This window comes from Homo sapiens, chromosome 16 (genome assembly GCF_000001405.40).
Source record: "Homo sapiens chromosome 16, GRCh38.p14 Primary Assembly".
Taxonomy (NCBI): domain Eukaryota; kingdom Metazoa; phylum Chordata; class Mammalia; order Primates; family Hominidae; genus Homo; species Homo sapiens.
This window is the reverse complement of record NC_000016.10, coordinates 69422610-69436138: the sequence shown is the minus strand read 5'-3', so window position 1 is coordinate 69436138 and position 13529 is coordinate 69422610. Positions and strand designations below refer to the sequence as shown.

The 13529-nt window shown below is 43.3% G+C and overlaps 1 protein-coding gene across 1 annotated transcript in view, besides 2 other annotated features; it reads right to left on the bottom strand.

Annotated features, from left to right (window-relative positions):
• The window catches only part of CYB5B (cytochrome b5 type B), a 41646-nt gene extending 30126 nt beyond the window's left edge, over positions 1-11520 (bottom strand). The window contains exon 1 of the mRNA NM_030579.3: positions 11282-11520. Coding sequence (NP_085056.2) covers positions 11282-11455 — 174 coding nt within the window. The 5' untranslated portion in view covers positions 11456-11520. The remainder of the gene's footprint in view (positions 1-11281) is intronic.
• Positions 11142-11689: an enhancer, noted in NCBI's record as "H3K27ac hESC enhancer chr16:69458353-69458900 (GRCh37/hg19 assembly coordinates)". NCBI's record gives its function as "activates a minimal SCP1, AML or CMV promoter by ChIP-STARR-seq in primed H9 embryonic stem cells {active_cell/tissue: H9 hESC(primed)}" and the evidence as "EXISTENCE:reporter gene assay evidence [ECO:0000049][PMID:30033119]".
• Positions 11690-12237: an enhancer, noted in NCBI's record as "H3K27ac-H3K4me1 hESC enhancer chr16:69457805-69458352 (GRCh37/hg19 assembly coordinates)". NCBI's record gives its function as "activates a minimal SCP1, AML or CMV promoter by ChIP-STARR-seq in primed H9 embryonic stem cells {active_cell/tissue: H9 hESC(primed)}" and the evidence as "EXISTENCE:reporter gene assay evidence [ECO:0000049][PMID:30033119]".

Below are 13529 nucleotides of genomic sequence, written 5' to 3'. Positions count from 1 at the left end.
GCGCGAACACACATGTGAGTGCATGCCATGCCCCCGGGCAAAATGAATAAATAAATGAAAGTAGATTCCTTGATCAGGTCACCTCACCTGGGCAGTGATAGAGGTTAAATTCTGCCTCATCTTATTTCTCACCTTCCCTAGAACTAACCACTTGGAACCACTCTTGGCAGAGAGCATTCTTTCTATAAAATTATAATGTTAGGCCAGGCACAGTGGCTCGCTTCTGTAATCCCAGCATTTGGGAGGCTGAGCCAGGAGGATCACCTGAGGTCAGGAGTTTGAGACCAGCCTGACCAACATGGGGAAACCCTGTCTCTATTAAAAACACAAAAAATTAGCCAGGTGTGGTGGCGGGTACCTGTAATCCCAGGTACTCGGGAGGCTGAGGCAGAAGAATTGCTTGAACCCGGGAGGCAGAGGTTGTAATGAGCTGAGACCGCGCCACTGCACTCCAGCCTGGGAGACACAGTGAGAGTCCGTCTCAAAAACAAATAAATTAATTAATTAAATTTAATTATAATGTTAATTCCACTGGACAGGCAACAATCAACTTTCTTTTGACCAGCCTTGGAGAAGTACAGTAGGAATTATTAGTCAAATGCCAAAGCTTTCAAGAAATACCCTGGGATTGTACCAAATAGAGCCTGCATTCTCAGGCAAGGCCACTCTATACCTCACACAAGAATTACTTGGGCACAGATCTTCCCTGCAAATCCAAGTCATCTAATTTACCTTTCAATCCTTCAAAGCACTTGCCACTTGGTACTCAAAAGATGCTGCAGGAAACAATGCAATTTTGTATTAAATGCAATTTTGTATTAAAAACAAAAATAATCACTAACACTTATTGAGCTCTTTAAGCCAGGTAGTATGCCATAATAAGTCTATATATGCATTATTTAAATTACTTGTCACAACCACAACTACCCTGTGAAGTATGTGCTATTATCTCCATTTTACAGAGGGAAAAGGGCCTTTACAGAGCTTATTTCCACAAGGTTCCACAACTATTAAGTGGTAAAGTAGAAAGCTCAACCAGACACTTGGACCCCAAAGCTAATACCCAGCCACTAGAAAAAAATGCTTTCAAGTCAAAAATAACAAACAACCCAATTTTACAAAGGGCAAGACCAGATACTTCATAAAAAGGCATATATAAATGGCCAATAAGCCCATGGAAAGATACAACATCATTAGTCATCAGGAAAATGCAAGTTAAAACCACAATTATATACCATTACACACCCATTACAATGATTTTTTTTTTTTTTTTTTTGAGATGAAGTCTTGCTCTGTCACCCAGGTTGGAGTGCAGTGGCGCGATCTCAGCTCACTGCAACCTCCACCTCCCGGGTTCAAGCGATTCTCCTGCCTCAGCCTCCCAAGTAGCTGGGACTACAGGCACCTGCCACCACACGTGGCTAACTTTGTATTTTTAGAAGAGATGGGGTTTCACTATGTTGGCCAGGCTGGTCTCGATCTGCTGACCTCGTGATCTGCCCACCTCAGCCTCCCAAAGGGCTGGGATTACAGGCGTGAGCCACAGCACCTGGCCAACCACACACCCATTAGAATGGTTAAAAGTAAAATAACTGACAAATACAATGTATCAATGAAGATGTGAAGAAACTGGAAAACCTACATTGTGGTGGGAGTATAAAATTATATAAACACTTTGGAAAATGCTCTGGCAGTTGCTTAAAAAGTTAAACAGACATATAACCTAGTAATCTCACTCCTAGCAATTTTACTACTAGGTATTTGCCCAGGAGGAATAAAATCATATGTCCACACAAAGATTTGTACATGACAGTTCCTAGCAGTTTTATTCATAACAGCCCCAAACTGGAGACAACCCAAATGTCAATCAACAAGTGAATGGATAAACAAATTTTGGTATGTTCACACAATGAAATCATAAGTTACAAATCACTGATAACACAGAAAAAATAGATGAATCTCACAGATATACTGAGCAAAAGAAGCTAGACAGAAGAGTACGTACTATAGTGTTAGAAATAAAATGAGTGTGTATGGGGACAACACTGGTAGAAATGTTCTACAGTTATGTGCCACATAATATGGTCAACAATGGACCATATATATGATGGTGGTCCCATAAGATTATAATACCATATTTTTATTGCACCTTTTCTATGTTTAGATGCACAAATACTTGTTACTGTGTCACAACTGCCTACAGGTTTGTACAGGTTTATAGCCTAGGAACAAGAGACTATACCGTACAGCTAAGGTGTGTAGCAGGCTATACTACCTAGGTTTGTGTAAATATACTCTATGATGTTTGTGAAGGGGTAAAATCAACTAATGATGCAGTTCTCAGAATGCACCCTCATTGTGAAGTGACCCATGACCGTATATTGATTGTGATGGTGATTATACAGATGAGACATTTGTCAAAACTCACTGAACTCTACATTCAAAATCTGTACATTTTATTGTCCCTACATTTGATTTCAATTAAGTTGATTTAGAGAAAAAAATGTGACAGCAAAATATTGAAAAACCCAAATGTTTATCAATAGGATACTGCTTAAATAATGATCCATATAATAAATCCTATGCAGCTGTGGTGAAGGAGGAGGAGGGATGCCAGTTATTGCTATGGAAAGATCCCTGAGATACACAGTTAAGTGAAAAAGGCAAGACACAGATGAGTGTGCATAGTATGTTATCTTTTGTGTAAAAAAAGAGAAACTACATTCACTTTGGCTTGTACAGGCAAAAAGAAACTAGAGGGATACACAAACAATGGGAGTTAACTTTAGGAGGCAGTGAAACTGGGCAGAGGGGAAGGTGGCTTTTTACTATATACCTGTTTGACCTACTTAAAAAATGAAAAAAATTACCTAGGTTCCAGGAAAGGGGTATCTGTTCTAACTTCCCTATACCACATTCCCAATCCTTCCAAATTATATTTAAAATGTGAACAAAGCTATAAAACAGACCTAATTCCATACTCTGCAGCCATGAAAAACATTGAGGCAGATCCTAGGGTACGGTTAAGAGTACAGGCCACAGGCCGGGCATGGTGGCTCAGGCCTGTAATCCCAGCACTTTGGGAGGCTGAGGCAGGCGGATCACCTGAGGTCAGTAGTTTGAGACCAGCCCGGCCAACACGGCAAAACCCCGTCTCTATTAAAACTACAAAAATTAGCCAGATGTGGTGGCAGGTGCCTGTAATCCCAGCTACTCAGGAGGCTGAGGCAGGGAGAATCGCTTGAACCCGGGAGGTGGAAGTTGCAGTGGGCTGAGATCGCGCCATTGCACTCCAGCCTGGGTGATAGAACGAGACTCTGTCTCAAAAAAAAAAGGAGTACAGGCTATAGGGTCACAGTGCTTGATTTCAAATCTCACCTGTGCCACCTAACTTTATGACTCTGTGAAAGTTACTCCTCTGCTCCTGTTTTCTCACCTCTAAAACAGGTTGTTGGGAGGCTTAAAAGAGAAATTACATGTAAAGCACTTAGAATAATAAGCACTCAATAAATACTATGACGACTACGAGGGCAAATCAACTAATAGAATACTATGACTCTATTTCTGTATATATTTGTACATATTTGTATATATAAGTATATACATGTTTGCACATATAAGTATATGCACGGAAGATGTAGTATTCAAACAAATTATTGGGATTGAAAGAGTTTAGCCTACCCTAACTTAAATGTGTTCAGAACATTTACGTTAGCCTACAGTTGGGCAAAATCATCTAACATGAAGCCTATCTTACAATAAAGTGCTGACTATTTCATGTAATTTATTGAATACCATACTGAAAGTGAAAAACAGAATGCTTGTATGAGTACTCACATATCACTTTCACACCATGGTAAAGTCAAAAAATTTTAAGTCAAGCCCTAGTAAGTCAGGGACTGTCTGTAAATTGCTTCAATGTCATCCCTCATCTTCAAACATGTCAGTGGTTTTCTATTACCTTTTGGATCAAATCCAAACTACCTACCAGACCTTGCATGTCCTGGGTCCCGCCTAGCTCTCTGGCCATTCTTGTCCTTCATTCACTATAGACACAGCTTCTTTCAGTCCCACTAATGTGCCAAACTCTTGCTTGACTTCAAATGCTGCTGGAATGCTCTTTTCTGTATTCTTTCCAAATCAGGTTCATGACCATCAGCTCAATTAAATGTTATCTTCTCACAGAGGCTTTCCCAGATCACTCTTATTAAATTAAATCTTTCCTGATTTTTCTTTCTCAACTCATTTGTTTTCTTCATAAAAGTGCCATAATTTAAAATTATTTCATCTGTCTGTTTTTGTTTTGACTCCTCTAGAATGGTAGCTTCAAGAAGGCAGTATCATGGGATATTTTCGTTTTGTTTGTTTGGAGACAGGGTCTCGCTGTCACCCAGGCTGGAGTGCAGTAGTGCTATCTCGGCTCACTGCAGCCTCGATGTCCTGGCCTCAAGCCCTTCTCCCACCCCTGCCTCCTGAGGAGCTGGGACTACAGGCTCATGCCACCATGCTCGTCTAATTTTCGTATTTTTTGTAGAGATGGGGTTTTGCCATGTTGCCTAGGCTGGTCTCAAACTCCTGAGCTCAAGTGATCTGTCCACCTTGGCTTCCCAAAGTGCTGGGATTACAGGCGTGAGCCACTGCACCCAGCTTTGTTTTGTTTTTAAGACAGAATCTCACTCTGTCGCCCAGGCTGGGGTTCCATGTTTATGTTTATTTTTATACACCACCAGGGCCTACTACTATATAGAACTTAACAAATATTTGTTGGGTTAATAAAATGTTATCCCATTTATGAGATGGTTCCTAAAGTAATATTCTCATTTATGGTGACAGTTTCTAAAAACACATATAGGCCGGTGCCGTGGCTCACACCTGTAATCCCAGCACTTTGGGAGGCCAAGGTGGGCAGATCACTTGAGGTCAGGAGTTCGAGACCAGCCTACCTAACATGGTGAAACCCCATCTCATAAAAACTAGCCAGGTGTGGTGGGAGGGACCTGTAGTGCCAGCTACTCCAGAGGCTGAGGCAGGAAAATCGCTTGAACCCAGGAGGCAGAGGTTGCAGTGAGCCAAGGTAATGCTACTGCACTCCAGCCTGGGCGACAAAACAAGACTCCATCTCAAAATAAATAAATAAATAAATACACATATAAAGCTTTAAAATAGGGCTGGGCATGGTGGCTCACACCTGTAATCCCAGCACTTTGGGAGGCCGAGGCGGGTGAATCACCGGAGGTCAGGAGTTCAAGCCCAGCCTGGCCAACATGGCAAAACCCCATCTCTACTAAAATAGAAAAATTAGCCGGGCATGGTGGCATTCACCTGTAATCCCAGCTACTCAGGAGGCTGAAGCAGGAGAATCACTTGAACCTGGGAGGCAGAGGTTGCAGTGAGCTGAGACCATGCCATTGCACTGCAGCCTGGGCGACAAGAGTGAAACTCTGTCTCAAAAAAAAAAAAAAAAAGTTTTAAAATATCACAATGTTATTTCAAGTTACTCTTTTGACAAATGACTATTTATACACAAGTCAATGGCTTCCAAATTTTCACTTGTAATACCCAGTAAGGAAATAATTTTACACTGCAATCCAATAAACACCATATACATGAGATATTATAGGCCAGGCACAGTGGCTCATGCCTGTAATCCCAACATTTTGGGAGGCCAAGGCGGAAGGATCACTTGAGCCCGGAGTTTGAGGCCAGCCTGGGCAACATGATGAAACCCCATCTCTACAAAAAAAATACCAAAAAAATTAGCAGGGTGTGGTAGTACATACCTGTAGTCCCAGCTACCTGGGAGGCTGAGGCGGAGGATTGTTTGAGCCCAGGAGGCAGAGGCTGCAGTGAGCCAAGATGGCACCACTGCACTCAAGCCTGGACAACAGAGCCAGACTGTCTCCAAAAAAAAGAAAAAAAAATACATTATATATAACTGAACAAAGTTTCACAAAATTTTACCCTTGATAAGAGAGATGCACTTTGATATTTTCTATCAATGTCATAAGATATTACAATCATTTTTATGTGATTTTTCTAAACTACTAAATGGTGGAAAGATAATGACATGTACTACTTTCATTCATGATTTCAACAACTCATGAATGCACTGATTCAAACAATGCAAAATTAATCTGCCAGGGAAAGACAATTCAATTATATTACTAATTCTAAACTACCACATTCAAACTCCAGTATCATACTCTAACCAGTCATTAATCAAAAAAATGGTAAGCTACAGACACAGGACACTTAAGATTAGGAACCTCTTGCTAAAGGAGGGGCCCCAAAGTGACATCAGATTGGAAAGAGAAGGATGAATACCAATGTAAATCTTCCCTCTCTCATCTAATAGCAACCCAACTCTTGAAGACTCATAAGCCAAAAACTTTGGTGTTATCCTTGACTCATTTTTCTTTCATTCCCCAAATCTGGCGCATCATTAAATCCTATTGGCTCTTCCATCACAACACATCCAAAATCTGACACTTGTTCTGGTACAACCCACTATCTCTTGCCTAATTACTAAAACAGCCTCCTAACTGGTCTCCTCAATTCTGCCCTTGTCCTCTTAAGAAGGCAAAGCCAGCTGGACTTCCTGGGTGGAGTGGGGACTTGGCAAACTTTTGTGTCTAGCTAGAGGATTGTAAATGCACCAATCAGTATGCTGTAAAAATGCACCAATCAGCACTCTGTGTCTAGCTAAAGGATTGTAAATGCACCAATCAGCACTCTGTAAAAATGGACCAATCGGCACTCTGTAAAATGGACCAATCAGCAGGATGTGGGCGGGGACAAATAAGGGAATAAAAGCTGGCCACCCCAGCCAGCAGCATCAACCTGCTCTGGTCCCTTTCCACACTGTGGAAACTTTGTTCTTTCACTCTTCACAATAAATCTTGCTGCTACTCACTCTTTGGGTCTGTGCCACCTTTAAGAGCTATAACACTCACCGCGAAGGTCTATGGCTTCATTCTTCAAGTCAGAGAGACCAAAAACCCACCGGAAGGAACCAACTCCAGACACACTCTTCCTTCAGTCTTTCACAACAATGTAGTCAGAACGATCCTATTACGCCATTAAGTCACATCATGTCACTCTTCTGCTCCAATGATTTCCCATCTCAGAATAAAAGCCAAAGTCCTTCCTAAAACCTGTGAAGTTGTACATGATTTGTCCTCCCCTGATCATTCTGATCTCATGTGCAACTATTCAACCACTGTGGCCTCCCTGACTGTTCCTCAAACATACCAGACATCCTCCCATCTCAAGGCCTTTGAACTTGTTTCCTCTGCCAGGAATGCTCTATGCTCTTCCTACAGATACCCTCATGGCTAGCTCCTTTACTTTGCTCCTGGCCTTTACTTAGTCATCTTCATAAAGTTATCTCGGCACCATCGCTAAAATTTCAAACCCTCCTCCTCACACCACATAAATATTCCACAGTCCTCTTCCCTGTATTATTTTTCTTTTTTTTTTCATTTGTGACGGAGTCTCACTCTATCACCAGACTGGAGTTCAGTGCCACAATCTTGGATCGCTGCAACCTCCAACTTCTGGGTTCAAGTGATTCTCCTGCCTCAGCCTCCCAAGTAGATGAGAGTACAGGCACATGCCACCATGCCCAGCTAATTTTTGTATTTTTAGTAGAGATGGGGTTTCACCATGTTGGCCAGGATGGTCTCAATCCCGACCTCATGATCCATCCGCCTCGGCCTCCCAAAGTGCTGGGATTACAGGCCTAAGCCACCGTGTCCAGCCCCCTGTATTATTTTTCTTCTTAGCACTTACCACTACCTAATGTAGTATATATTTTAGTTATTTACTCTGCTTATCGTCTGCCTCCTGTGCCATGTAATCTCCATGAGGGCATAGCTGTTTATTCACTACTAAATCCCCAGCACCTAGAACAGTGTCTAGAACATAGTAAAGGCTTAATAAATATTTGAATAAGTGAATGAATGAATAGGCTTGGAATGAACAAGAAAACAGAATAAATAAGAATAGCTAATTAGGCTGAGCACAGTGGCTCACACCTGTAATCTCAGCACTTTGGGAGGCCCAGGCAGGAGGATCCCTTGAGCCCAGGAGTTCCAGACCACACTGGGCAATAGTGGGACCCCAATTCTTTTTTTTTTTTTTTTTGAGACAGAGTCTGACTGTCGCCCAGGCTGGAGTGCAACGGCACCATCTTGGCTCACTGCAACCTCCACCTCCCGGGTTCAAGCGATTCTCCTGCCTCAGCCTCCTGAGTAGCTGGGATTACGGGTGTGTGCCACCACGCCCAGCTAATTTTTTTGTATTTTTAGTAGAGACGAGGTTTCACCATTTTGGTCAGGCTGGTCTGGAACTCCTTACCTCATGATCTGCCCACCTTCGCCTCGCAAAGTGCTGGGATTACAGGTATGAGCCCACACCCAGCCAGTGGGACCCCAATTCTACAAAAAATTTTAAAAATTAGCCAGGCGTCGTGGTGCACACCTTTTCCCAGCTATTCGGGAGGTTGAAATAGAAGGATCACTTGACCCCAGGAGACTGAGGCTGCAGTGAGCTGCACTCCAGCCTGGGTGAAAGTAAGACCTTGTCTCAAAAAACAAAACAAAAAAAACAAAACTGCAGGTAAAGAGCTGCAGCTCAAGCTCCAAGAGAAACCTTGGCACATTAGTGATGTCTCTGGCTATATCAGCATGTGGTTGAAACAGGTTAGTTACTTCTGGAATCTTCACAGAGGAAAAAAAAAAAGAAAGAAACAGGTTAGCAACTATTACTTGAGACTGAATTAATGCTCTCTGTAAGGGCTGAGTGTTCCCTCCAAGCTCACCATCTATTCTGAATCAATCAAGAAAAAAAATGGAGGGAAATAAAACCACAAATGAAAAACATGATTTTTTTTTTCTTTTTTTGAGATGGAGTCTCACTCTGTCACCCAGGCTGGAGTGCAGCAGCACCATCTCACCTCACTGCAGCCTCCACCTCCCAGGTTTAAGCGATTCTCCTACCTTAGCCTCCCAAGTAGCTGAGATCACAGGTGCCACCAAGCCTGGCTTATTTTTGTATTTTTAGTAGAGACGAGGTTTCGCCGTGTTGGCCAGACTGGTCTCGAACTCCTGAACTCAGGTGATCTGCCCGCCTGTGCCTCCAAAAGTGCTGGGATTGCAGGCATGAGTCACTGCGCCCAGCCAAAAAACTTGATTTTCTACCCATTATGAACCATGCTTTAGCATGAAACTTACTATGAAGCAAATACCAGAAGTCATAGCTAAGGCTAGAATTTTGAAGTAATGCTATGCAGACAAGAGAAATCAAGGGATCTGTCAAATCTGCTACTAATTGATTGTATGACCAGGATCTTTCTGAACCTGTTACTTGTACCTCTGTTAAAAAAAAAAAATCACTACTATCCAAGTCACCCTCCACTAGCTTTTTTTTTTTTTTTTTTGGAGTCTCGCTCTGTCGCCCAGGCTGGAGTGCAGTGGTGCAATCATGGCTCACTGCAATCTCCGCCTCCCAGGTTCAAGTGATTCTCCTGCCTCAGCCTCCTGAGTAGCTGGGATTACAGGCGCCCACCACCAGGCCCAGCTAATTTTTGTATTTTTAGTAGAGTCGGGGTTTCACCATGTTGGTCAGGCTGGTCTGGAACTCTTGATCTCGTGATCCGCCCGCCTCAGCCTCCCAAAGTGCTGGGATTACAGGCGTGAGCCACCACACCTGGCCGGGAAAGTACTTTTTTTTTTTTTTTTGAGATGGAATCTCGCTGGGTCCCCCAGGCTGGACTGCAGTGGCGCAATCTAGGCTCACTGCAAGTGCCACCTCCCGGGTTCACGCCATTCTCCTGCCTCAGCCTCACGAGCAGCTGGGACTACAGGCGCCCACCATCACGCCTGGCTAATTTTTTGTATTTTTAGTAGAGATGGGGTTTCGCCGTGTTAGCCAGGACGGTCTCGATCTCCTGACGTCGTGATCCGCCCGTCTCGGCCTCTCAAAGTGCTGGGATTACAGGCGTGAGCCACCGCGCCCGACCGGAAAGCACTTTTAAAAGCATAAAATGCCATACACCATACAAATGCAAGAAGTTAGTAAATTCTGAGTTTGTTAAATTATTGTTCACTATTAAGATTTATTAAAAATAATGTTCTTTGGGGGAAACTTTTAAATTTTAAAAGTTTTTAGAATTAAAAGTCAGGATGCAGAGATTTCTCTTTTAGGCCCCAAATTAATCGAAAAAATATTTCACTAGTATATTTGCTTCAGAGAAATAGAAGTGAACTTTCACAAGTCATTAATCTATTGCTCAAAATAAAATGATCACACACAAACCGAAAATCAAAGCTTCAAACATACACACACCGAAAATCAAAGCTTCAAACCAATCTTTAGCGGCTGCATATCACTAGTTGCCTGGGGTTGGGAGAGAATGACTGCAAAGGGAAAGGAAGCTTTTTAGAATGATGGAAATGGTTTATGTCTTAACATGGATGAATACATTTTTCAAAACTCATCAAAATGTACATTTTAGATAGGCACAATTTACGTATGTACATTACACCTCAATAAAGTTTTAAATATTTAGAAGTCTATCCTGTTTCCTTAAAAAAAAAATTAGTTGCACCATGGTCTCAAAAATAATTTTTAAAATGAGATGTAATGCAACAGACTTGAAGATTAAATAAAACAGTCTTGAATATTTAAGAAAAATGACAAAACATGAGTCAAAAACAAAAAAAAAGGGTTGATTTATGAGTTTCTGGCCTCAAGGTCAACTCAGATTAGGGGGAAAAAAAAACAGTGGAGGCATAATCAAGATGGGGAAGCGTGTGGAGAGAAATCTCAGCTTCTACTCTAGAAGACGAAAACCAAAACCGGTATTACTTCAGAAGGCACACTGGAAAAGCACAGATGTGGGTGCACTTCAGACCTAGGTTCAACGGATCTAAGCTGCTAACTCTATGGCCCTGAGAGTCCTCAACCTGTGAGCCTCAGTTTCCCTTTCTGTAAAATAAAGATAATGATGGCTTAGAGTTTAGCTGAGCACACAGCAAATGCTCGACACATAAGTAATACATGATATTACATAAGGCACCAGAACTCGGAGCTGACTGGAAATGCATGCAAACTAAAGCCCTCCCCCAATCCCACCCCAGTTTCCCTCTGAGGGTCGTGATCCCTTTCTTACGCCTTATCGCCCCCAGCCAAGCCTCCCTTCCTTCCCACATACACTCCACACAGCCTTTTCACCCCTCGCCCCAGCAGCTTCAGAGGCCTCCCACCTCCCAGGCCCCACCTCGTTGAGGAAGCGGGTGACATCGTAGACTCGCCCATGGATCACAAGCCACAGTTCCTTCAAGGAGTTGCGCTTTGCCACCTCCTCCAACCGGTAATAGGTGACTGAGGTCTCGACTTCCTGCCCTTTCCCATCGCTGCCGCTAGCTTCCGCAGTCGCCATTGAACCGGACATACTGCCTCTCCACCGCTAACTGAGATTCCGCGACTACTTTCCTTGAGAGCCCGCGCTCAGCCTTCCTCGGCTTCCGTAACCAGGGCCCATAAGGCCTTGAGACGGTTCCTAGCAACAGCCAATCACACTTCCGAATAGTTCCTGGTTCGTTTTCTTTTCACCAATGAAGGGAGTGGCTCAGTTCGAAATCCCGCCCACTCCTCGCCCGATCCTCCAGATGAAAGTCTGGTTCGAGGTCCAACTAACCAATTAGGGTCGTTCAGCCCCCTCCAACCTCGCCAATCAGATACCGCGATTTTTGGACTGGCGCCCAAAAGAGGCGTGCTGACAGGTGTCACTTCAGGAGAGGTACCACTTCTCTCAGCCTGTGGGCCTTTAGGGTCTCCAGTGTTCTGCTTCCCTTCCCATCGCTGTGGCTTTCTCCTGAGTCTCAGAAAGTTCCTATCCCCTACACTACCGGCGCAGCCTGTATCCCAACCCTGATTTTACATCTTTGCTGCCTCCAGGTCGTGATCTGGCCAATCCCGTCTCTCCTCAATTTCCCCATCAGTAAAATGGGCTTGATAAAGCACTCTCTTACAGAGGGGTTTGCCTTTTTTTTTTTTTTTTTTTTTTTTGAGACAAGTTCTCGCTCTGTCTCCTAGGCCAGAGTGCAGTGGCACGATCTCGGCTTACTGCAAACTCCGCCTCCCAGGTTCAAGCGATTCTCCTACCTCAGCCTCTCGACTAGCTGGAACTACAGGCATGCGCCACCACGCCCGGCTAATTTTTGTATTTTTAGTAGAGAGTAGGTTTCACCATGTTGGCCAGGCTGGTCTCGAACTCCTGACCTCAGGTGATCCGCCTGCGTAGGCCTCCCAAAGTGCTGGGATTACAGGCGTGAGCCACCGCGCCTGGCCCGGTTTGCCTATTTTAATGAGAGTGCCTGTAAAGCGCTTGGCGCATAGTAATCGCTAAACATGGCAGTCGATTAGAAAGGCAATTGCTGTCCCGGACAGCAATTGGGGGTAGAATGTGGAGTATCCTATGTTTCTACCATCATTCAGAATCCGATTTTCAAACGAATTCTGTGATGATCAGGATCAATCGGCACTATTTTAGTCTCTACGTGATCTAAAATAGAATTGAACTCAACTGCTCTCCGCTAGAGGTCCCAGCACTTTGGAATTCCAAGTTTGGTTAAGGTACAGTGTTGTGCGCCACTTTTTAACTGCCATTACAACTGACAGATTGCTCTTCCTATGATGTCGTCGTTTTCATCCTGTCACTCTCGCAGTCTACCATTCAGGGCTCTCCACAATCCATTCGCAACCTCTTTCACTAACGTATAATATTTTCCACCATTCCCTTTATAAGCCTGTTGCACCCGCCCCGACTCTGAAACCTGCTGGTTTAAAACCACATCCGTGGTCATCCCAGGTCCACCAAGTTAATTTTAGATCACTTAGAGACTAAAATAGTGCAGATTGATCCTGATCATCACAGAATTCATTTGAAAATCGGATTCTGAATGGTGGTAGAAACATGGGATACTCCACATTCTACCCTCAATTGCTGTCCCAAGGACTCCTCTTCCTTTCAATGCCTACCGGCTTTTCAAGTTCCTCTTCAGTTTCTTCTATTTTCAAACTTCTCCTACCGTTTTGAGCTCCAGTGCTTCCATCCCTTTGTAGTACCTAAGAAAGCATATTACTATTTTGGGAAGCCTGCTACGTCTGTAAATTTTAACTTTACGTATTTTACCTCCCTAGTTAGACTGACACTATGAGAGCAATCTCACAAGATTCTTAGGATCCTCCACAAACTCTAGATTCAAATATTTACATTTATTCCAGACATTTACTATTTACTGTTACAAGTCTTATGATAGGCATTGGGAGTAGAGAGATAACATAAGAAACAAAATCTCTGAAAGAAATAAAAACATTTACAGGCTGAATGTGGTGGCTCAAGCCCCGTAATTCCAGCACTTTGGGAGGCCGAGGTGGACAGATCACTTGAGCCCAGGAGTTCAAGACCAGGCTGGGCAACATAGTGAGGCTCTTGTCTCTTCAAAAAATACAAAAATTATCTA